The 22,662-nt window shown below is 42.4% G+C and overlaps 1 protein-coding gene and 1 pseudogene across 14 annotated transcripts in view; both read right to left on the bottom strand.

Annotated features, from left to right (window-relative positions):
• Nucleotides 1–22,662, bottom strand: part of USP30 (ubiquitin specific peptidase 30) — a 64,935-nt gene that overhangs the window by 11,131 nt on the left and 31,142 nt on the right. For 5 of the 14 annotated variants that reach the window (NM_001301175.2, XM_017020052.3, XM_017020048.2 and 2 more), the window contains 6 exons: nucleotides 20,102–20,211; nucleotides 18,785–18,967; nucleotides 9,266–9,369; nucleotides 5,183–5,281; nucleotides 4,543–4,588; nucleotides 3,361–3,455 (listed from right to left, as the gene is read on the bottom strand). In NM_001301175.2, coding sequence (NP_001288104.1) covers nucleotides 3,361–3,455; nucleotides 4,543–4,588; nucleotides 5,183–5,281; nucleotides 9,266–9,369; nucleotides 18,785–18,967; nucleotides 20,102–20,201 — 627 coding nt within the window. In that variant the 5' untranslated portion in view covers nucleotides 20,202–20,211. Of the gene's footprint in view, nucleotides 1–3,360; nucleotides 3,456–4,542; nucleotides 4,589–5,182; nucleotides 5,282–9,265; nucleotides 9,370–18,784; nucleotides 18,968–20,101; nucleotides 20,212–22,100; nucleotides 22,388–22,662 lie in introns of those variants that run through there. The other 9 variants (XM_047429732.1, XM_017020051.3, XM_017020049.2 and 6 more) reach the window with 6 other exon arrangements.
• Nucleotides 16,793–16,907, bottom strand: RNA5SP372 (RNA, 5S ribosomal pseudogene 372; annotated as a pseudogene).

The raw sequence follows: 22,662 nt of genomic DNA, 5'->3' as shown, positions 1-22,662 counted from the left end.
GGGCGTGGTGGCGGGCGCCTGTAGTCCCAGCTACTCGGGAGGCTGAGGCAGGAGAATGGCGTGAACCTGGGAGGTGGAGCTTGCAGTGAGCCGAGATCACGCCACTGCACTCCAGCCTGGGCGACAGAGCAAGACTCCGTCTCAAAAAAAAAAAAAAAAAGAAAAAATCAATCACTGTAATTCACCAAGTCAACAGAATAAGACTAAAATATGATCATTTCAATGGATGCAGAAAAAACTGACAAAATCCAATCACTATTCATTACAAAAATTCTCAGCAAACTAGGAACAGAAGGGAAGTTTGTCAGTATGATAAAGAGGTATACTAAAACCTAAAGCTAATATCATACTTAATTATAAAACACCAAATACTTGCTTCAGAAGATTTGAAACAAAGCAAAGATGTCTGCCATCATCACTCTTATTTAACTTTGTACCATAAGTCTTAGCCAGGATAATAAGGCAAAGAAAAAAAAAAAAAAGGAATAAAGATTGGGTTGGAAAGGAAGAACTAAAACTATTTCTATTCATAAGCAACATGACTGTTTGCATACACAGAGAATGCTAAGGAATACATAACAAAACTTCTACAGCTTCTAGAAGTAATAAATGAATGTTTACAAAAATCTCAAGATATAAGGTCAATATATAAACAGCTGTATGTCTATATACTAGTGGCAAACAATTTGAAAATAAATTTTTTTAAATTCCACTTACAATAGTATCAAAATAATGCACGGAAAAAAGAGATGAATAGTCAACTTATAGATTACAGTTCCTTAACATATCTTACATATCTTTTAATATATGAACCTTATTTTTAAAAAGACCATTCAACATATTAGTCTTCAAGGTAATGTCACTCAGAACCGCAATGACACAGCAAATGAAACAATCAACAAAATGAAAAGGCAACATATGGAATGAAAGAAAATATTAGCAAACCATATATCTGATAAGAGGTTAATATCCAAAATTGAATACTTGAAATACACTAAAAGAGTGTTTATAAGGAACTCATATGGACCAACAGCAAAAAAAAAAAAAAAAAGAAAAAGTAACATGATTAAAAAATGGGCAAAGGAGCTGAACAGACACTTTGCAAAAAAAAGACATACAAATGGCCAGTGGGTATATGAAAAGGCACTCAATATCACTAATCATCAGGGAAATGCAAATAAAACCATAAAGAGCTATCACCGCACACCTGTTAGGATGGCTATTACCAAAATGACAGCATGTGGTCAGGCACAGTGGCTCATGCCTTAATCCCAGCACTTTGGGAGGCCGAGACAGGCGGATCACTTGAGGTTGGGAGTTCAAGACCAGCCTGGCCAATATGGTGAAACCCGATCTCTACTAAAAATACAAAAGATTAGCTGGGTGTGTTGGCGGGTGCCTGTAATCCCAGCTACTTGGGAGACTGTGGTGGGAGAATTGCTTGAACCCAAGAGACGGAGGTTGCAGTGAGCCAAGATGGCACCACTGCACTCTAGTTTGGGTGCAGCAGAGCGAGACTCTGTCTGAAAAAAAAAGACAGCACGTAACAAGTGTTGCCGAGGGTGTGGAGAGAAGGCAACTCTTGCATACTGTTGGTGGGAATGTAAATGGAAAACAGTATGAAGGTTCCTCAAAAAGTTAAGAATAGAACTATTATATGAACTAGCAATGCCACTCCTAGGTATATATCCAGAGGAAATGAAATCAGTATCTCAAAGATACATCTGCAAAACAATCTTCATTGTAGCATTATTCACAATAGCCAAGATATGGAATGTCCACAGACAGATGAATGAGAAAATGTGGTATACACATATAATGGAATATTATTCAGCCATCAAAAAGGAAGTCCTACCATCTGTGACAACATGGATGAACCTGGAGGACATCTGCTATGTGAAATAAGCCAGATATAGAAAGATAAACACCACCTGATCTCATACCTATATGGAATCTAGAAAAGTCAAACTCACAGAAGCAGAGTACATGCTGGCTGCCAGGGGCTGGGGAGGTGGGGAGATGTTGCTCAAAGATGCAAACCTTCAGTTATAAGACGAATAAGTTCTGGAGAGTTAACGTACAGCATGGTGACTACAGTTAATAATACTGTATTGTATTCTTGAAATATACTAAGAGAGTGTTCTCACCACATATGAGCACAGGTGCACGTGCACACACACACACACAGTCATACATCAAATCTTCACTTTGTACACCCTAAATATATACAATTTTTATTGTCGATTAGATCTCAATAAAACTGGGGGAAAAAGCCACAGTGAGATACTACTTTGCACTCAGTAGGATGGCTAGAACCTCAATGTTAGACAGGACCTAGAGAGTGGGCTGACATCAAAATGTGGGTGAGGCTGTGAAGAAATTGGAACCCCTCATACACTGCCGGTGGGAATGAAAAATGGCATAGCCACTTTGGAAAACAGTCTGGCAGTTCCTTAAAAGGTTAAACAAAAGAGTTACCATATAAGCTAGCAATTCTACTCTGAGGTATATACCCAACTGAAGTGAAAATATATGTCCACACAAAAACTTGTATGTAAATGTTCACAGCAACATTATTCATAATGGCCAAAAAGTGTTAACAATCCAAATGCCCATCAACTGATGAATGGATAAAAATGTTGTAGATCCATGTAATGCAATATTATTTGGTAATAAAAGGAACAAAGTACTGATTCATGCCAAAATATGGAAGAAACGTGGAAATATTATGCTAAATGAAAGAAGCCAGACACAAAAAGCCACACATTACATGATTCCATTTATATGAAGCATCCAGAATATGCAAATCCATAGAGACAGAGGTAGATTCATGGTTGACAAGGGTAGGGTGATGGAAAGGATGGGGAGAGGTTGCTAATGAGTATGGAGTTTCTTTAGGGGGCAATGAAAATGTTATAAAGTTGACTGATCCCGGAGTCAGTAATGGCTGTGAAAAAATAAAATAAAATAAAATGGATTGGGGTGACAGTTGTACAATTCTCTCTTTTTGTATGATGTTGGAAATTTTCCATAATAAAATATTATTTTAAAACCTCAAAAGTAAAGGGGAAAAAACCAGCCCTAGAATCTACTGTGTCCACCATGAGCATAGACTCAACCACTGGACTCAAGAGCCTGCCAATCCACAGTGGGTCTGTTGTCCTTGGTGCAGAAGATGCCATCTGACCTCAAATGACATGCTGACACTGACCAAAGTGGGGTAGTCAGTCCACTAGTGTGCAGAGGCCAGGTAGTCTCTAACACCAGTGACCGATGTCAGCCCACTCTCTAGGTCCTTTCAAGAATCCTAACTTTTGGAAAACCTCTCCCGGAAATATCAAGTGTTGGTATTGTATTTACCTGGTGTTCACAGTGTTTGCAGACCATATTACTAGTGAGTCTTCCATGAAAAGGATGTTGAGACTTCCAGTGATTGGATGTAGGGTGAGGTGACCCTGGAATGCAAAAAGTTTTTTGATATGTCACTTTTAGCCCTTTGGCACCAAGCTCAACATTCATCTTCCTTTCTAGCATGTGGTAGAAACTACCTCTTAAGAAAAAATATTCTTGAAAAGTACATTGAAATAGCTTTCCTCATTGACTTCCATCCAAAAGACATCCCATTCCTTCATAGGAGAATTTACACAGATCTATCTTTATATACGGTTTCTGTATAATGGGTAGAGCCACATTTTAAAAAGGAATTTGTGTTGAATAATGTCTTTTTACAAACATATGCTTAAAATGTTTGAGATGTCAAAAGAAGGATACCACAAGTGAACATTCCATAAAGCGAGATAAAATCTTCTGAAATAAACAGAATAAGCAAGTTCTGAATAACTAGGCCTTTCTTTGGCTAGAATGGGGTTTAATGGAAAGAACATAAGTGAGAAACCTGGGCTCTGGAGTTGTGCAGCCCAGGGATCAGCTCTGGCTGTGCTTCTTATTCACTACCTGACCTGGGAATGCCTTTAATCTCTACAAGCCTCAGTGTGCGGAAAATTGGGATAGTTATTATCCCATTAACTCCAGTATCATCAACTTTGTAGAGTTGTTATGAGGCTTAAATGAGATAATGCAATGCCTGGCAAACAGCATGGGCTCAAAAAATATTTGTTCCTATTACTACACAGAGGAATTAATATGCTAATCTTATTTTTTAAGTCTTAAGAAAACAACAATTTCCTCCTAAGGATGACTGTGGTAATATGCAATAGAATTTGGCAGCACTGGAAATGCTGAGGACACGACAGATTCAGCTCATTATGTTCTTCCCAGGATCAATTCAAAAAGGTAAAAAGAAAGCCCTTGTTTGAAGTACAAATAAGCCAGTTTCAAGAAAAGTCAGCTGGGCTGGGGTGCAAGGGAACACCAAGAGAATCTATTTAAAGCTATTTCCAAAATACAAGTTCCTTTGCAAGCACATCACACTTCAAGCTGGCCTGTATGTCACCAGAAAAAAATCTTTTTAAAACAAGCAAATTATTATCATATCTTAAAAGTCCACATCTTATGTGTTATATTTCAATGGAAAACAGCTACCTCTTGTGCGGCAGGTAATTTGTTTGGGAGTTATTTCTGACTGCTGCTGTAGGGGAGAAAAAAAAAAAACAGACTGAAAACCTTACTATAATCCCTTTCACCACCCTCACCCCACCCCTAAACCTTACAAGTTTCTACGTTGATTACACCACTAAAAATCAACTTTTAACAAAGCTCAGGTTTCTAAAGGTAGCCTCAATTAGCCTATCTGGCTGGATACTATGAATATTCTTTCATCAAATGCAATAGAAACATATTTCTTCTCTCCAGAATATTTTCATCCTTACTGGTTAACTTTTGTCAACTCCTCCGATATTTATACTGTTACAGGGAAATGAGGGCTCACTTAGCATTCCTATGGCCCCTGTTCCCCTGTATTAAACAGGAAAAAATAACACATTCTTTATTCTCAAAGCCAACACAAATTGCAGCAATGAATCATTTGAAAGAGCCTTGACATCCCTAATCAGATCACCAACTGCAAAGCATGTAGTTTTAAGACCCTCCCCTGGCCTCATTCCCACCACTGATTTTTACTGAATCTTACTTTTAAAGTTGTACAAAGATTACACTTGCCTCCCCTATACTTATTAAATATGCACAAGCTGCACAGAACGTGTTGGAAATATTAATGGTTTACCTCCAGGGAATGCACATCAAACAAATGTGTGACCCGAGGCTGGCGGTCTCGCTCATCTTCCAATGACGAGGTAATGACATGGAATAATTCGTGAGCATCCTGTCATAGGGCAAAGCATTCTTTAGAGAGGTTGGAAGAGGCAAGAGCAAGATCAGAACTACCCACCTCGGGCAGACACCCTACAGTGAATGTGGGTAGAATTTGCTTTCTACCTTCTCAAGGCCCAGCTCATTAAAGAAAACAGTTATGTCCTGGACACTGTCACGAGTGAAGACCCTCAAGCAAGAGGTCCAGGAGCAGAGAGCAGGAGAGAAAGCCAGGTGGCTGCCTTCACGCCAGCAGTCTATGAGACCATTCTGTTTCACTGAGACAGCCTTGACCTCCACTCCGATTTCAAAAGATTATGTTTTTTGTTAATTGTGGTAAAATACACATATCATAACATTTATCATCTTAACATGAATGATTCTGTGGCATTAAGTACATTCATGTTGTTGTACAATCATCACTGCCATCCATCTTCAGAACTTTCTCATCTTCCCCAGCTGAAACTCCATATCTGTTAAACACTGATTTCCCATTTCCCCTTCCCCAACCCCTGGCACCCACCATTCTTTATCTCTCTAGGAATCTGATTACTCTGGGAACCTCACACAAGTGGAATCATACAGTGTTGGTCTTTGTGACTGGCTTATTTTCCTCGGCATAACGTCTTCAAGCTTCACCTATGTTGTAGCATACTGCAGAATTTCCTTCCTTTTTAAGGCTGAATAATATTCCATTGTATGAAAGTTTTGTTTACCTATTTATCAGCCGATGAACACTTGGGTTGCTTCTACCCCTTGGCTATTGCGAACATGCTGCTATTAACCTGAGTATACAAATACCCTACTGAGTCCCTGCTTTGAATTCTTTTGGTTTGTACCCAGCAGCGGGGTTGCTGGATCCAATGGCATGGGACTACTCTTGAAGGATCAACTCAAATGGCTCTCTCCCCAAAAACCCAAGCCACCCCTCACTCTTCCGGGAGTAACGGGGTCACAACACAGGCCCTCTGCTTCTCCTTTGGTGTCCCCTCACACTGCCACCAGAGCAATACTTTAAAAGGCAGATAGCTTTACTCTTCTGCTTTTAGCTTTCCAATGGCTTCCACTACTAGAGTAAAACCTACCATTCTTATCTGGCCTACAAAGCCCCCAACATTCACAATGTCCCGGCCCCTGGCCTCTTTGCTGTTCCTTGAACATATCCAGCTTATTCCCATTTCGGGCTGTGCTCAGACCTTCGCACGGCTACCTCCTATCCTTCAGGTCTCTGCCAAAAGAGCTCCTCCACAGGGCATACTCCCCAACCAATTATCCAAAGCTGCCTCCACCCCTCTGAACTCTAACCCACCCTCAGCCAATTCAGCAGCAGTCCTGAAAAAAGGACCCTCCTCCAAAATACGCCCTAAATTCCTGAGGACTCTCAGCTACCCTGCTTCGACCCCAGTCTGAGCCACACCATCTCGGCCAGATAACTGCAGCGGCCTCCCACCTTTCCTCTCGGCTTGCATTCTTGCCCCTCCAGCCTTCCTTTTCTAACAAGTCAGATCAAACCAGTCCCCAGTTCAAAGTCCTCTAGTGGCTCCCCGCTGCAAACACAATAGAAGCTGATGCCGCCCGCAGCCTCCTAGTCCCTGCACAATCTGCTCCCTGCCAACTTCGCCAGCCCCTCTCCTCCACCGCCCTCCCCGCCCTGGCCTCCCTGCCATTCTCCACAGGTGGCAGCTTTATAACCATCTCCAGACTTATACCCTAGCTTCTTCATCTGTCTGGAATGCTCTGTACCCAGGTGTCCACACACTTCACTCTCTTTTATACTTCCGGTCTCCGCTGAAACCTCACCTCCTGAGAGGAGCCTCCCTACCTGGAGCAGTCTCCCCCTGTAGCTTGGCTCCTCCTCCTCTGCCCTCCCTATCCATGCCATGTTACACCAGCTAGTTTCTTGTTAGCATATCCTGAAATCCCCTGCTTACTGTCTGCACCGACCCCTGCCTGCTATCCTCATCCCCCACTGGAATACCAGCTCTAAGAGAGCAGGAAACTCCTGCAAGTCATGTCTGCTGCTACGACTCCATTGCCCTCGACAGTCCCCACCCCAGGCAGGCATTCAATAAATACTTGTTGCCTATATAAATGAATTCCCTCCTGGGCTATAAAACTGCAGCTGTAGAGTGGAAGTAGAGATTCAAAGATAAATAAGGCAAGGCTCTAGCCCCTGAGGGACTCACAATCCAGGGGAGGTGTGGCAGCCTAGCTATTAGCCAACGGCACACCAGAGGTGCAGCCCTGTACAGATGAACAGGAAGCAGGGAACCTGGAGGAGAATCAGCACTTCCTGGGAGGCTCAAGGAGCCCTCACACACCAGGCATCTGGGCCCAGGCTTGAAGCAGATCCGAGAAAGGATGGAGGTGGATCTATAACCTAAACCGTGGGTCAGCCATGTAACAACTAGGCCTTAAGGAAAGGGACAGCACTGCAGAGGAGGGGGAGCTTGAATGTGCACTGTAGCACTAGACTGTCTTAAATCCTGGCTCTGCCCCTTAAATAGCTGCATGATTCTGGGCAAATCATTCCACTTCTCTGAGCCTCAGTGTTTTTCCATCTGTAAAATGGGGACAACAGTAATTCCTTACATGGTTATTGTGATAATAAAATCAGGTAATTTGCACAAAGCAAGCCTTTGGCCCAATGCATCCTCTGAAGCTCTAGCTTTAGACAAAGAAAATGGGTTGACAATCAGGGAAAATCTGCTCCTGATTGACTGGATCGCTGATAATAAAGATGTGGGCAAGGCCCATGCTAGACGCTCTGGGTACCTTCAAAGAGAAAAAGGCCACCGGACAGACGTGTTCACCTCTTTTTCCTGCAGACTACAGCACGATGTGGGCTCAGTGACTGCTGTGGGCTGAAGATGTTGGAAATACTTCCAAGGAGTGACTGGGACCTAAGTGAGTCCTTGATGGAGAAGTCGGACCTTAAAAAAGTTATCTGATGTCCTTGGTGACTAAATCTCCAAGTTATTCTCTCAGTTTAGGGAAATGTAAAATGTAGATAAATAATTCCAGTTACCAGAGGAGGATTTTAAAAGTATTTTCTAAATAGAAAAACGTTGCAACATACAATTGGATTAACTGAGATACATTTTAAGAAAGTATAGATACCACCACCATGTCTAAAAAGTGACCTGTGGCTTCAGAATAAAGCAAAAACAAGAGAACACCTTTAAAAATAAGGGGTGCTAGAAAGCCTCCCCAGCTCCCTTTCCAAAAGTCTCTCGATGCCCCTCACGTCGGCCCCACAGTTTTGGGAGGTCCAAGATGCCGCCTCCCATTTCTCTGGATAGTGGCGGCAGACAACGCCTACACGAAGCTGGACAAGGCCATCTTGGAAGTGTGGCTGTGGAGGATGCACCTGTATGTCACTGGGGGCTAGATTTTTTCATCTCTAGAACTTCATTCTCTTGGCCTCTGCTTCAGACTTGCTGTTGGTAACAGCGGTCTGGCGGGGAGGAGGGTGGCCAAGTTCCAAAAAAGGCAGCAAAGCTGTAGTTGTGGAAAAGGGAGGTGGGAGTGACTGAATACGGCCTTGAAATTGCATATGACATCTGCTTGAGGTTTCGGGCTACTTTAAGCAAAGCTCCGAAGATTGATTTTTTAAAAAATGAGGGTGTGGTCCAGAAAAATCTTACCTAAACCTCTGGGCCTCCAAGGTAAAGTCACCTGCCTCTTTCTAAAGAACCCAGGTGTCCCTATCACTTATTGGAGTGCCAAGTCACTCAAGAACTAAAAAGATTTTGCTCTTTGGCAACTGTGTGTTTATGTCCCATCCTGCTAACCTTCCATCCACTGAGTGAAAAACAGCTGTATCTCCCCTCTGATCATGAGAGCAGGAACAAAGTTGGTACTCTGGTCCCAGAACACTAAAGTTGTCTAAAATGTCACAGAAATGTACACTGGGGCCAGGCAATTTTAAGGTCAGGCCCCAAGTCACTAGGGGAAAGGATTCTCCAAGCTAAACCTGTTCAAATGTTGTACTCACCTGTTCTTCAAATGATGAGATCTGCCATCTGTACATTCTTAAGACATCCAACAAGCAGCTTGCATCTAAGACCTCATCATCAGTAACTTCTTGGCAGGACAAGGCTGGAAACAAAAAAGGTAAGACAATTATTAAATTCATCAGCATAACAACTAACCAGAAAACTTGCACAGTATAACATATCAAAGTTAATTAAAAATTAAAGACCGCAGGCTGGGTGTGGTGGCTCATGCCTGTAATCCCAGAATTTTGGGAGGCCGAAGTGGGCAGATTACAAGGTCAGGAGATCCAGATCATCCTGGCTAACATGGTGAAACTCCGTCTCCACTAAAAATAAAAAAAAAAAATTAGCCGGGCGTGGTGGTGGGTGCCTGTAGTCCCAGGTACTCGGGAGGCTGAGGCAGGAGAATGGCATGAACCCGGGAGGCGGAGCTTGCAGTGAGCAGACATCGTGCCACTGCACTCCAGCCTGGGTGACAGAGTGACGCTCCATCTCAAAAAAAAAAAAAAAAAAAAAAAATTAAGGACTGTAGGATTAACCTTAGAATTAGGTATTTTTCATCATTCTTTGTAGCTTTACCCAATGCTTAGTACTCTATTAGGCATTTATGTTTACTGAATGAATGTAATTTTTCATGAGGCTGCAGCATTTAAATGAAGTAACCGATTCCTGTATCTTCAAACTATCATCATCAATATAAATTTGTTGCAAGGTTCTTATTGAGCAAAATGATTTTAACTCACAACTTTCAGGTTGGGAGGGCCCTTTAACATTCATCCAGTCCAACCCCATATTTGGTGCTACACTCCTCTCCACAGGGCTGTTTCCCAAGGCCTTTGCTTGTATTTGTTTGTATTTGAGTTTCTGATTTTCAAGGCAAAGCATCAAGCTATATGCAGCAGCCTAAAGGGTCTTTTGAGTAGTGTACTTTTCTTTTTTTTTGAAACAGAGTCGTGCTCTGTCGCCCAGGGTGGAGTGCAATGGCGTGATCTCAGCTCACTGCAACCTCCGCCTCCTGGGTTCAAGCGATTCTCCTGCCTCAGCCTCCCGAGTAGCTGGGATTACAAGGCATGCGCTACCATGCCCGACTAATTTTTGTATTTTTAGTAGAGATGGGGGTTCCCCCATGTTGGCCACGCTGGTCTCGAACTCCTAACCTCATGATCGCCCACCTCAACCTCTCAAAGTGCTGGGATTACAGGTGCAAGCCACTGCACCCACCCGAGTGGTTTACTTTTCAATCACAGGTAGAATCAGGCCTAATAAAAGTTTGATGGGCTTATTTATATTATAATTACTTCTAGACCAAGGATTGGCACTTTTTCTGTAAAAGTCCAGAAAATAAACATCTTAGGCTTGCTTTTTTTTTTTTTTTTTTTGAGACAGGGTCTCATTCTGTCAGGCTAGGGTGCAGTGGCATGATCTTGGCTCACTGCAGCCTTGACCTCCTGGGCCCAAGCAATCCTCCCATCTTGGCCTCCTGAGCAGCTGGGACTACAGGCACATGTCCTTGTGCTCAGCTAATTTTTGTATTTTTTGTAGTGACAGAGTTTCACCATGTTGCCCAGGCTGGTCTTGAATTTCTGGGGTGAAGTGATCTGCCCACCTTGGCCTCCCAACGTGCTGGGATTACAGGTGTGAGCCCCTGTGCCTGGCCACATCTTAGGCTTTGTGGACCACATGGTCTCTGTTGCAACTACTCAACTCTGCCACTGCAGCACAAAAGCAGCCATAGATGTAAAAAGAAAATAACATTTCAGGACCTTCTAAATGCATTATGCCAAGGGAAAAAGTGCTGGAAACAGTCATGTAACACAGCTGCTTTTCTTCTCTGGCGCATGGCCACTGCTTCCTGACCTTTGTGTTGAGATGTTACACGTTAACCAGACTCCCTGTTCTTCCCTCAAACCTAGGCTGAATGGACTGGAGATAGAGATCCTTGTGATTATTACCTCTTTACAACAGAATGGTAGGCAACCCCCTAAGAGTGTAATCCATAGTAGCCAATCAAATCTTACATCTGTATGTTAGCCATTGTATGGAAAATGTTATAATTCTGTTCAGTACCTCCGTTTTTGTCATATAAATGATCCCCACTTTTCCCCACACTGGGAGCACTGATCACCATTTCCTGGGATTTGTGTGTCCCCAGACAGCCGCCTTCACACTTTGTGCTTCAATAAACCCTTTTAGCTGGATCTCGAACTCTTTGATTATTTGAGGCTGACATAGGCAGTACCTAAACAAATGGACATGACTGTGTTCCAATAAAACTTTATTGACAAAAACAGGTGGTGGGCTGGATTTGGCCCATGAGCCATCAGGTGCAGACTCCTGATCTTGGCCACCCTCCTTCCCAGCATGTTACACTAGACCAGTACTGCTAGAGTGTGAGAGAAAAAAATACAGAAGCCTGCCTCTCAGTGCAGTTTCTGGAAGTTCAGTGACTCCCAAGATACAGTAGGCCAGCCTGTTTCTTCTTTCTGACTTGCCGTCAATGGGCTTGAAAGATTCCTTTAAAGCCCAGACTTCTGGGCTGCTCTGCCTATGAAGTAGCCATTCTTTTATTCCTTTACTTTCTTAATAAACTTGCTTTCACTTAAAAAAATAATAATAAAGTCCAGGCTTCTGCATCAGTGTGTATATACCCTGGGGCTAGCCCTTTCCCTCCCAGGACAAAGGGAGCAGGGTTGGGAAATGAACCACATCTTTCTCCCATACCCCTCGGGCAGCCCTTCTGTTAGCTCCCCCCACCAACTACCCCCCAAAGGAAAATTTTAATGCCTCCTTTAACCCAACTTTGTCTAAAATACTATGGGGCAATTTGGCAATATCTACTAACATTTTCATATTGTACAATCCAGCAATTTTACTTTCTCAATCCAGCAATTTTTTTCCTAGAGAAATGCATGCTTAGGTGCATAAAGGGATATGTATAAGGATGTTCACTGTAGCCTGCTTATCTTGACAAGGAGCTGGAAGCAAATGCCTGAATAAACTGGGGTGTCTTGACATTATGGAAACTATGCAGCTGTAAAAGTGAATGAGGCCAGGTGCAGTGGTCTACGCCTGTAATCCCAGCACTCTGGGAGGCCGAGGTGGTTAATCACTTCAGGTCAGGAGTTCAAGACCAGCCTGGCCAACATGGTGAACCATCAACTCTATTAAAAACAGCAACAGCAAACACCCAAAAATTAGCCGGGGGTGATGGGTGCACACCTGTTGTCCTAAATACTTGGGAAGCTGTGGCAGGAGGATCACTTGAACCCTGGAGGCAGAGATTGCAGTGAGCTGAGATTGCATCACTGCACTCCAGTCTGGGCAACAGAACAAGACTCTGTCCCAAAGAAGAAAATAAAAGTGACCAAGGTTTGCAAATCACATCTGATAAGGGATTAATACCCAGAATATATGAACTCAGAACTTCTAAAACTCAACAACAAAAAACCAAACAATGCTGAGCGTGGTGGCTCATGCCTGTAATCCCAGCACTTTGGGGGCCTGACACAGGCAGATCACAAGGTCAAGAGATCGAGACCATCCTGGCCAACATGGTGAAACCCTGTCTCTACTAAAAATACAAAAATTAGCTGGGTGTGGTGGCATGCACCTGTAGTCCCAGCTACTCAGGAGGCTGAGGCAGGAGAATCGCTTAGAACTCAGGAGGCGGAGGTCGCAGTGAGCTGAGATGGCGCCACTGCAATCCAGCCTGGCAACAGACTGACTTCTCAAAAAAAAAAAAAAAAAAGAAACCCAATTCAAAAATGGGCAAAGGACTTGAACAGACATTTCTCCCAAAAAGATAGACAAAATGGCCAATAAGCAAATGAAAAGATGCTCAATATAACTTATCATTAGGGAAATGCAAATTAAAGCAATTACCATACCATTAGGATGGCTACTATCAATAAAAACAGAAAATAATATCTGTTGGTGAGGAGAAACTGGAACTTTTATGTATTGCTGGTGGAATTATAAAATCGTGCACCATCTGTGGAAAACAGCACAGCAGCTCCTCAAAAAATTAAACAGAATTACCATTTGATCCAGCAATTCTACTTCTGAGTGTTTACAGAAAATAACTGAAAGCAGGGAATTTGGACACTAATGTTCACAGCAACATTATTCATGATAGCCAAAGAATGAAAATAAGCCAAATGTCCACTGACTGACAGAGGGACAAACAAAATGCTGCATATACATGCAACAGAATATTATTCAGCCTAGGCCTGGCGTGGTGGCTCACGCCTGTAATCCCAGAACTTTGGGAGGCTGAGGTGGGCAGATCACTTGAAGTCAGGAGTTCAAGATTAGCCTGGCCAATGTGGTAAAACCCCGTCTCTACTAAAAATACAAAAAATTAGCCAGGTGTGGTGGTGCACGCCTGTCATCCCAGCTACTCGGAAGGCTGAGGCAGGAGAATCACTTGAATCTGGAAGGCGGAAGTGGCAGTGAGCTAAGATCGCACCACTGCGCTCCAGCCTGGGTGACAGAATGAGACTTTGTCTTAAAAAAAAAAATAGAAAGAATATTATTCAGCCTTAAAAATGAATGAAATTCTGATACATGGTATAACATGGATGAACCCTGAAGACATTAAGTGAAATAAGCCAGTTACAAAAGGGTGAATATTATATGAGTCCGCTTAATGAGGTACATCTTATAAATATGAGGAAACTCATGACTTAATGAGGTCTGAGTCAAATTCAAAGAGAGAGAAAGTAGGGCAGTGGTTACCAAGGGCTAGGGGGAGGGGAGAGTGGGAGTTACTGTTTCATGGGTACAGTTTCAGTACGGGATGATGAAGAGTTCTAGAGAGGGATGGCCGTGACTGCTGCACAACAGTGTGGCTGTACTTAATCTACTCAACTATATGCTGAAAATGGTAAATTTTATGTTATGGATATTTTGCCACAATTTAAAAAGTAGGCAAAGGATATAAACTAGCAATTCACAGAAGACAAACTATAAGACCAATACACTCAAAAAAGAAAAAAAAGGCTGGGCGCGGTGGCTCAAGCCTGTAATCCCAGCACTTTGGGAGGCCAAGGCGGGCGGATCACGAGGTCAGGAGATTGAGACCATCCTGGCTAACACGGTGAAACCCCGTCTCTACTAAAAATACAAAAATATTAGCCAGGCATGGCGCCTATAATCCCAGCTACTCGGGGGGCTGAGGCAGGAGACTAGCTTGAACCCAGGAGGTGGAGCTTGCAGTGAGCCGAGATCATGCCACCGCACTCCAGCCTGGGCGACAGAGCGAGACTCCGTCTCAAAAAAAAAAAAAAAAAAAAAAAAGTGAAGGAGGTAGAGCTACATGTACTAAAATGGACGCTTCTCTAATGTATTATATTTGGCCATGTAAATCACCAACAGAACAAAACAATATACAGGCCAGGTGTGGTGGTTCATGCCTGTAATCCCAGCACTACGGGAGGCTGAGGCGGGTGGATCACCTGAGCCCAGGAGTTCAAGACCAGCCTAGGCAACAGTGTGAAACCCCATCTCTACTAAAAATACAAAAATTAGCCAGGTGTGGCAGCACGCACCTGTAGTCCCAGCTACTTGGGAAGCTGGGGTGGGAGGATAGCTTGAGCACAGGAGGCTGAGGTGCAGTGAGCCGAGACTGCACCACTGCACTTCAGCTTGGGTGAGACCCTGTCTCCAAAAAACAAAACAAAAACAAAACAGAAAACAAAAAAACCTACAATATATAATTTCTATGGATGCATAGAAATGTATTCAAATGCACAGAAAAGGGTCTGGAAGGATTCACCTATAGCTTCCTTTTGGGAAAGGTGGAGGGGAGCAGGGTTGAGTATTGATAAAGGGGACTTTGGCCTTCTCTGTAATGCTTTAATCTTTTACAAAGAGAACTGATTCATGCATTACTTGTATAATTAAAAAATTATTTATAGGCCAGGCATGGTGGCTCATGTCCGCAATCCCAGCACTCTGGGAGGCCAAGGCAGGCAGATTGCTTGAGCTTAGGAGTTCGAGACCAGCCTGGGCAACAAGTCAAAACCCTGTCTCTACTCAAAATACAAAAAATTAGCCAGGCCTGGTGGCATGTGCCTGTAGTCCCAGCTACCTGGGAAATGGAAATGGAGGATTGTTTTGGGCCTGGGAGGCAGATGCTGCAGTGAGCTGAGGTTGTGCCACTGCACTCCAGCCTGGGCGACAGACAGAAGAACCCTGTCTAAAAAAAAAAAAAAATTTTTTTTTTTTTTTTTAAACCAAAGTTAGAGACATTGGAAAGCAGAAGCAGAGAAATGAGCAGACATCCTGGGACAGCAGCCCAAGGATGGCTCTGGCTCCCAGCACTGGGTCCCATGTGAAGGATAAGGGCAGTGCTGAGGTCAGGGTTAGGATAACTCATGTGGACATTTCAGCTTTCACAAAATCTTTGGAGTGGTGTTTTTAACCCATTTCCCATTTGCCCCAAGAATACTCCTGTCTTTAATCCTAATGTAACATCATATACATTTCTGTTACATTAGGATTAGAGACAAGTTCTATTTAGAAATAACTCCCATGAACATGGCTGGGTGCAGTGGCTCACCTCTGTAATCCCAGCACTTTGGGAGACCAAGATGGGAGGATCACTTGAGGTCAGGAATTTGAGACCAGCCTGGTCAACATAGCAAGACCCCATCTCTATTTTTTTAAAAAAATTAAAAAGGCCAAGCATGGTAGCTCACGCCTGTAATCCCAACACTTTGGGAGGCCAAGGCAGGTGCACCACTTGAGGTCAGGAGTTCGAGAGCAGCCTGGTGAAACCCTGTCTCTACTAAAAATACAAAAACTAGCCAGGCGTGGTGGGGCATGCCTGTAATCCCAGCTACTCGGGAGGCTGAGGCAGGAGAATTGCTTGAACCTGGGAGGCAGAGGTTGCAGTGAGCCGAGATCCCGCCACTGCATTCCAGCCTGAGTGACAAGACGAGACTCATCTCAAAAAAAAAGGAAAGAACTCCAAGAACAGTTTTTCTATTTTCGCATTTAAAATCAGTCAGATTTGCTTCGGCCTCAAAGAGCATGTTTACGTAAAATTAGATGAACGCTGGCAGCGAGTTGCACATTTTTTTTTTCTAAACCAGGAATGGGCTAAAAAAACAGGATAGTAAAAGAAATTATTCCCAAGTCACCTCTTCCACAGAAAAGTACACTTGCTTCATAAAGATTTCTGTGTCAAGCAGAGCTCACATGGGAAAATACCTCAGTGAAGCACGATTTAGCTGAATGTTTTTTAAATCCAATTTTCTCCTTACAGTGAGAGCAATATATGCTTATTGTTAAAAGTTGAAGTATAGTTTTTTTCCAAAAATGATTTTAAAATTACCAATGACTGCACAATACCAAAATGGCCACTGCTAACATTTCAGCATTTTTCAGTCCAGTCTTTATCTGTGGAAGTTCCTACCTTGATGAAGTCAAATTATATTTTGTACGCTGCTCTTTAAATTTAATATTACAGCCTATGCCCTCACCCAAATTAAAAAAAAATTTCATAAAAGTGATTCTTAATGGCTGTATGCCATCGATTACTTTATCATTTTCCCATCTAAGTGCTAGCCAACCACTACCCGGCTTAGCTTCCGAGGTCTGATGAGATCAGGTAAGTTCAGGGTAGTATGGCCACAGGTGATTGCTTAATGATTCTGTTTGATATCTACATTCTTTCCTTTTGCCATTATAATTAGGTGTTGGAGATCTTTGTGCATACATTGCACTCTGTATAATACCCATGGAATGTCAGCAGATTTTATGAAGAAAAAAAACAGTTCTACAGTCAAAAAGTTGGTTTAAAAATGAAGTTGGGCTAGGTGCAGTGGCTCACGCCTGTAATCCCAGCACTTTGAGCTGAGGCAGGCAGATCAGTTGAGGTCAGGAGTTCGAGACATGTCTGGCTAACATGGCGAACACTGTCTCTACTAAAAATACAAACATTAGCCGGGCGTGGTGGCATGCAGCTGTAATCCCAGATACTAGGGAGGCTGAAGCAGAAGAATCGCTTGAACCCGGGAGGCGGAGGTTGCAGTGAGCTGAGATCGTGCTACTGCACTCCAGCCTGGGCAACAGAACAAGACTCTGTCTCAAAAATAAAATAAAATAAAAATAAAAATGAAGTTGGGGCCAGGCGTAGTGGCTCATGCCTGTAATTCCAGCACTTTGGGAGGCTGAGGCAGGCATACCACTTGAGGCCAGGAGTTTGAGACTAGCCTGGCCAACATAGTAAGACCCTGTCTCAACTAAAAATGCAAAAAATTAGCTGGGTGTGGTGGCACAGACCTGTCATCCCAGCTACTCAGGAGGCTGAGGCACAAGAATCACTTGAACCTGAGAGGTGAAGGTTGCAGTGAGCTGAGATTGTACCACTGCACTCCAGGCTGGGAAAAAAAGGTGAGACTCTGTCTCAAAAAACAAAAACAAAAAAAAGTTGGGTAGGTTATTTCTTAAAACCTTTACCAAGCCAGTGTATATTGTGACTCTCCAAGTTGGGGGCTACCATTCAGCCATTCCTAAACTTGTTTGCTTTTAGACTCCATTTTTCAGGCTAGTTAAGTCACAATCTACGTTTCTAACCATTTTCATAAGGCGGACTCCCAGACATGGAATTACTGGGTCAAACAGTACTGAGTATTTCGCAAGCTATTATTGTGTAGTTCCAAACTGCTTTCCAGAAAAGTGGCACTAAGTTACACCCCTCTCAGCGGTGTATGGATGTATTGTCCAACAGCTGGACAGGGCTGCAAATTTGTTTTTTAATCTTTGCTGACAGGCAAAAAACAGCATTTTTATTTTGTTTATACTTCTTTGATGATGGTCGAGTCGAACATTTGAGTTTGTTAGCAATTTGTATTACTTCTTTTGTGAATTACCTTATTTTCTAGGCTAACGGACATTTTTTTTTTACTTTAATGTTTTTGAAACCAGAATACTTCTTACGATGAAACTGTTTATGTGGCAGTGGATTTCTTTCCTTCCTTAAAAAGCTGTTATTAACTTGACAATTTAAAAAATAAATGGTTCCATCTTTGATTTTTTTTTTTTTTTGAGACGGAGTTTCGCTCTTGTTGCTCAGGCTGGACTGCAATGGTGCGATCTCAGCTCACCGCAACCTCCGCCTCCCGGGTTCAAGCGATTCTTCTGCCTCAGCCTCCTGAGTAGCTGGGATTACAGGCATGTGCCACCATGCCCAGATAATATTTTTTGTGTTTTTAGTAGAGATGGAGTTTCTCCATGTTGGTCAGGCTGGTTTCGAACTCCTGACCTCGTGATCCACCTGCCTTGGCCTCCTAAAGTACTGGGATTACAGGCATGAGCCACTGCACCCGGCCTCCATCTTTGATTTTTAAAAAATACTTGTTTGTATCTATTGGGCTCTTGGTGTTGTTTATTCATAATGATCTGTATGATCTTTTCCTACAATAAGGTATTAACTCTTTGTTATAAGAGTCTCTGTCATCTGGACTTCTTTGAAAAGGTACATAATTCCCTTGAAATTCCCATCTAGATACCTTTCAGAAGGTGCAAGAGTGTTAAGGATAAATACTGGTGTGAGGGGGGCTCCTTCTGATCCCTGGAGTACTGGGAGGTGAACTCTTCCAGCCACCTGATGAAAGCAGGACAGGCAGACAGGCCTTGTAGCAGGGAGTTCATGAAGCAGGTGTTCCCTAAATTAACAAGGCCAGGCACAAGCCCTAAAAAAAAAGCAGGGGGAAGAAGAGAACAGTATATCACATTTGATCAATTTCTCTCCCATGTGGGACCCAGAGTTCCTGCGCTGTGGCCTTAAATTTGGAATCCCGATCCAAGAAGATCCTTATCCACAGAGATCTGGGGCCAGGCCTTCTATCTGTGCCAAGGCTTGGTTCTAGTACTGCTCCGCAGACTGTAAGCACAGAAGGACAGGTCCCCTTTGTGTGTTATTTTTGAAACCTATCATGGTATCCAGCACAGCTTGGTTCTTCCTAAATGTACAAAAACACTTAGTAACCATCTCCTGTCTTTTTCTCTTCCTCATTCTCCCCTACATGCTCTCTTTCTTCTTTAATCAGAAAGCAATGTTTCTCAGAACAGAAGAAAACAATTGTTCTGTTGTTACTTCCCCAGGACAATGATTCTGTTCTTATCTTAACAATCACTGGGAAAGACACCACTATACCAATTCTGATCAGTCTTTCTGCAGAGATCAATGAAATCTAATATACTTCTCTCTTCTGCTAGCAATCTTTTAAAAAAACTTTTTATTATCAAAGTTCTCAAAGACACAAAAAAAGGAGGGAGAATGTAAAATAAACCTCAATTATAACTGTCCCCAGATTTAACAATGATCAAATTTCACCACATTCTTCTTTCTTTCTTTGCTGAATTTTAATCAATGTTACATAGAGCCACACTTTCAAAAGGGAGCATTAAAAAAAAAAAGAAAATAATTTTTTAGTAATGAAGGCACTAACTTGAAATTTTTACCAGTTACTAGCAAGCTAGTCTGAGAGAACACAAATGTATGATGTAATTGGTCAGTCTGTACCACTGAAAACTACAATTGCCGTACTAATGAGAACACTTCTTAGACAATTATGCCGCTTGACATTTTTCATTACAAAGCATGCCTCCAACTCCAGTCTGGAGAGGGGCTGAAATAGAAATCTTTTTACTACATGGTATAAAATAATGACTAACGGTAAAAGTACTGTTTGAAAACCTGAAATCCTAATTTTAAAGATACAGAGAACAAATATGACCAACCTCCCCACCTTCTTTGTACTGTTTTCAGATAACAGGGATCTGGGTCAAGTCTACAGACCATGATGCAGTGTTCTCATTCTTACCTTTTCTACGCTTCTTTCTTTCTGTAATGGGACCCCAAATAACATATATTCCTGCTGCAAGAGCAGCAGCAATTCCACCTATAACTCCCCAGTTCTTCATGACTTTATATCTAAAAAAGAAAACAAGTTTACTGTCTTCCCTCACACAAACACAAAAGGCAAATATACAGATATAGACAGAATAACATTTTGTCAAAATAACCCACCAAATACCTAATTGCAAGTTAAAGTAACATATAGTCATAGGATTACATCTTGAAAATCAGGATGTTTAGACATTAGGATTTAAAATCTAAGTCAGCTGGGCACGGTGGCTCATCCCTGTAATCCCAGCACTTTGGGAAGTCAAGGCAGGAGGATCCTTTGAACCCCAGAGTTTGAGATCAGCCTGGGCAACATGTGGAAACCCTGTCTCTACTAAAAACACAAAAATTAGCTGGCCGTGGTGATGTGCACCTGTAATCCCAGCTACTCGGGAGGCTGAGGCAGGAGAATCACTTGAATCTGGGAGGCAGAGTTTGCACAGAGCTGAGATCGTGCCATTGCACTCCAGCCCAGGTGACAGAGAAAGACTCAGTCTCATAAAAAACAACAACAACAACAACAACAACAACAAAAACTAAGTCAAATCATCACATTCCAAAGGCTACTTCTCACTCTGAGGAAAAACTGAAGTTATTTTCCTTTTCTGCCTCTCACTCCACTTCCACATGGAACGTTACCAGCCAATGCTCTGACCTCAAGGCGTTTGCACTGCTGTTCCCTCTGCTCAGAATGCTCTTCCCCCAGATCACTGCTTGGCTCACTCCTTTACCTCCCTTCGCTTCTCAAGAGGCCTACCTGAACATATCAGTGGGACCTGTCCTTGTCCCCTTGACATGTTTCTACTTTTTCTTTTTACCATAGAACTTAACCACCTTCTAACATAAAATTAACCTATTCGCTATGTTTTTTTTCTTTTCTTTTTTTTTTTTTTAATGCACTGGGTTTGTTGTCTGTCTCCCTCAACTGGCATGTGCTTTGTTTTACCCACTAATGAGCTCAAGTGTCTAGATCATACTTAGCACATAGTAGGTTCTCAATAATATTTATTGAGGCCAGGTGTGATGGCTCATGCCTGTAATCCCAGCACTTTGGGAGGCCGAGGTGGGCGGATCACCTGAGGTCAGTGGGAGACCAGCCTGGCCAACACGGTGAAACCCTGTCTCTACTAAAAATACAAAAATTAGCTGGGTGTGGTGGCAGGTGCCTGTAATCCCAGCTACTCTGGAGGCCGAGGCAGAATGGCTTGAGTCCAAGAGGCGGAGGTTACAGTGAGCCCAGATTGCGCCACTGCACTCCAGCCTGGGTGACTGAGCGAGACTCTGCCTCAAAAAAAAAAAAAAAAAAAATATATATATATATATATATATGTATATATATGTGTGTGTGTATATATATATAAAATATTTATTGAATGACTGAATACTGGAGAAAATATACAGAAATGAATTTCTCTTTTAGAATATTAGACAGGGAAGGGGCACACATACAATGGTATAAAAGAGCTGAATATTTATAAAATTAAAGATTTCCTAACTTCAGGCTTGACTTGAACGCTGGTTATGCTTTTGCTACATATTAAGAAATTTCCCCAACAATTTAAAACATTGTTTTTATACAAAGTTATATATTTCTACAAAATAAGACAAACCATCTATGTGTATATAGCTATGTAATGTGTATCTGCATATATGTTACACATGCATACATACGTGTTTGTGTGTGTGTGTGTGTAATACATTATTATCCCAGTATTTGGATCATGTGAATATTGTTTTGATTTCAGTTCAGTAAACATTAACTTGGTGAAGAGTCACTGGTGGTAATATTGACCCTGTTTTATAATAATCAGCATTTCTTAGTATCATAGCTGATAGCTGAATTTCAGATAAATATTTGTTTTCCAAGACAGAGTCAACAGAATATGCACCAAACTTGGTTAAGAAAGTGGGATTACCTTATTCTGGTTCAATCCTGGCTTTGCTATTTCATTTGGCATCACTTCACCTTCTAAGCCTCAGTTTCCTCATCTGTACAATGGGGACAATCCATAAGACCTACCTCATAGGGCTGTTGTGAGGATTAAATAAGTGTGAATGCATACAGTACATAGTAAGAACTTAATAAATGTTAGCTGCTACAAATTAAGCATTACAATCTCAGGATCATTCATGAAAGCTATTCTTTCTTTTTTTCTTATTTTTATTTTTATTTTTTTTTGAGACAGTGTCTTGCTCTAGTTGCTCTAGTGCCCAGGCTGGAGTGCAGTGGTGCCATCTCAGCTCAACACAATCTTCACCTTCCGGGCTCAGGTGATCCTCCTGCCTCAGCCTCCCAAGTAGCTGGGACCACAGCTGCACACCACATGCCCAGGTAATTTTTAAATTTTTTTGTAGAGACAGGGTCTCACTACATTGCCCAGGCTGGTCTCGAACTCCTGAGCTCAAGAAATCCACCTGCCTCAGCCTTCCAAAGAGCTGGGATTACAGGTGTGAGCCACCATGCCCAGCTGGTGAAAG

Source organism: Homo sapiens, chromosome 12 (assembly GCF_000001405.40).
Source record: "Homo sapiens chromosome 12, GRCh38.p14 Primary Assembly".
Taxonomy (NCBI): Eukaryota; Metazoa; Chordata; class Mammalia; order Primates; family Hominidae; genus Homo; species Homo sapiens.
This window is presented reverse-complemented; position numbering and strand designations above follow the sequence as displayed.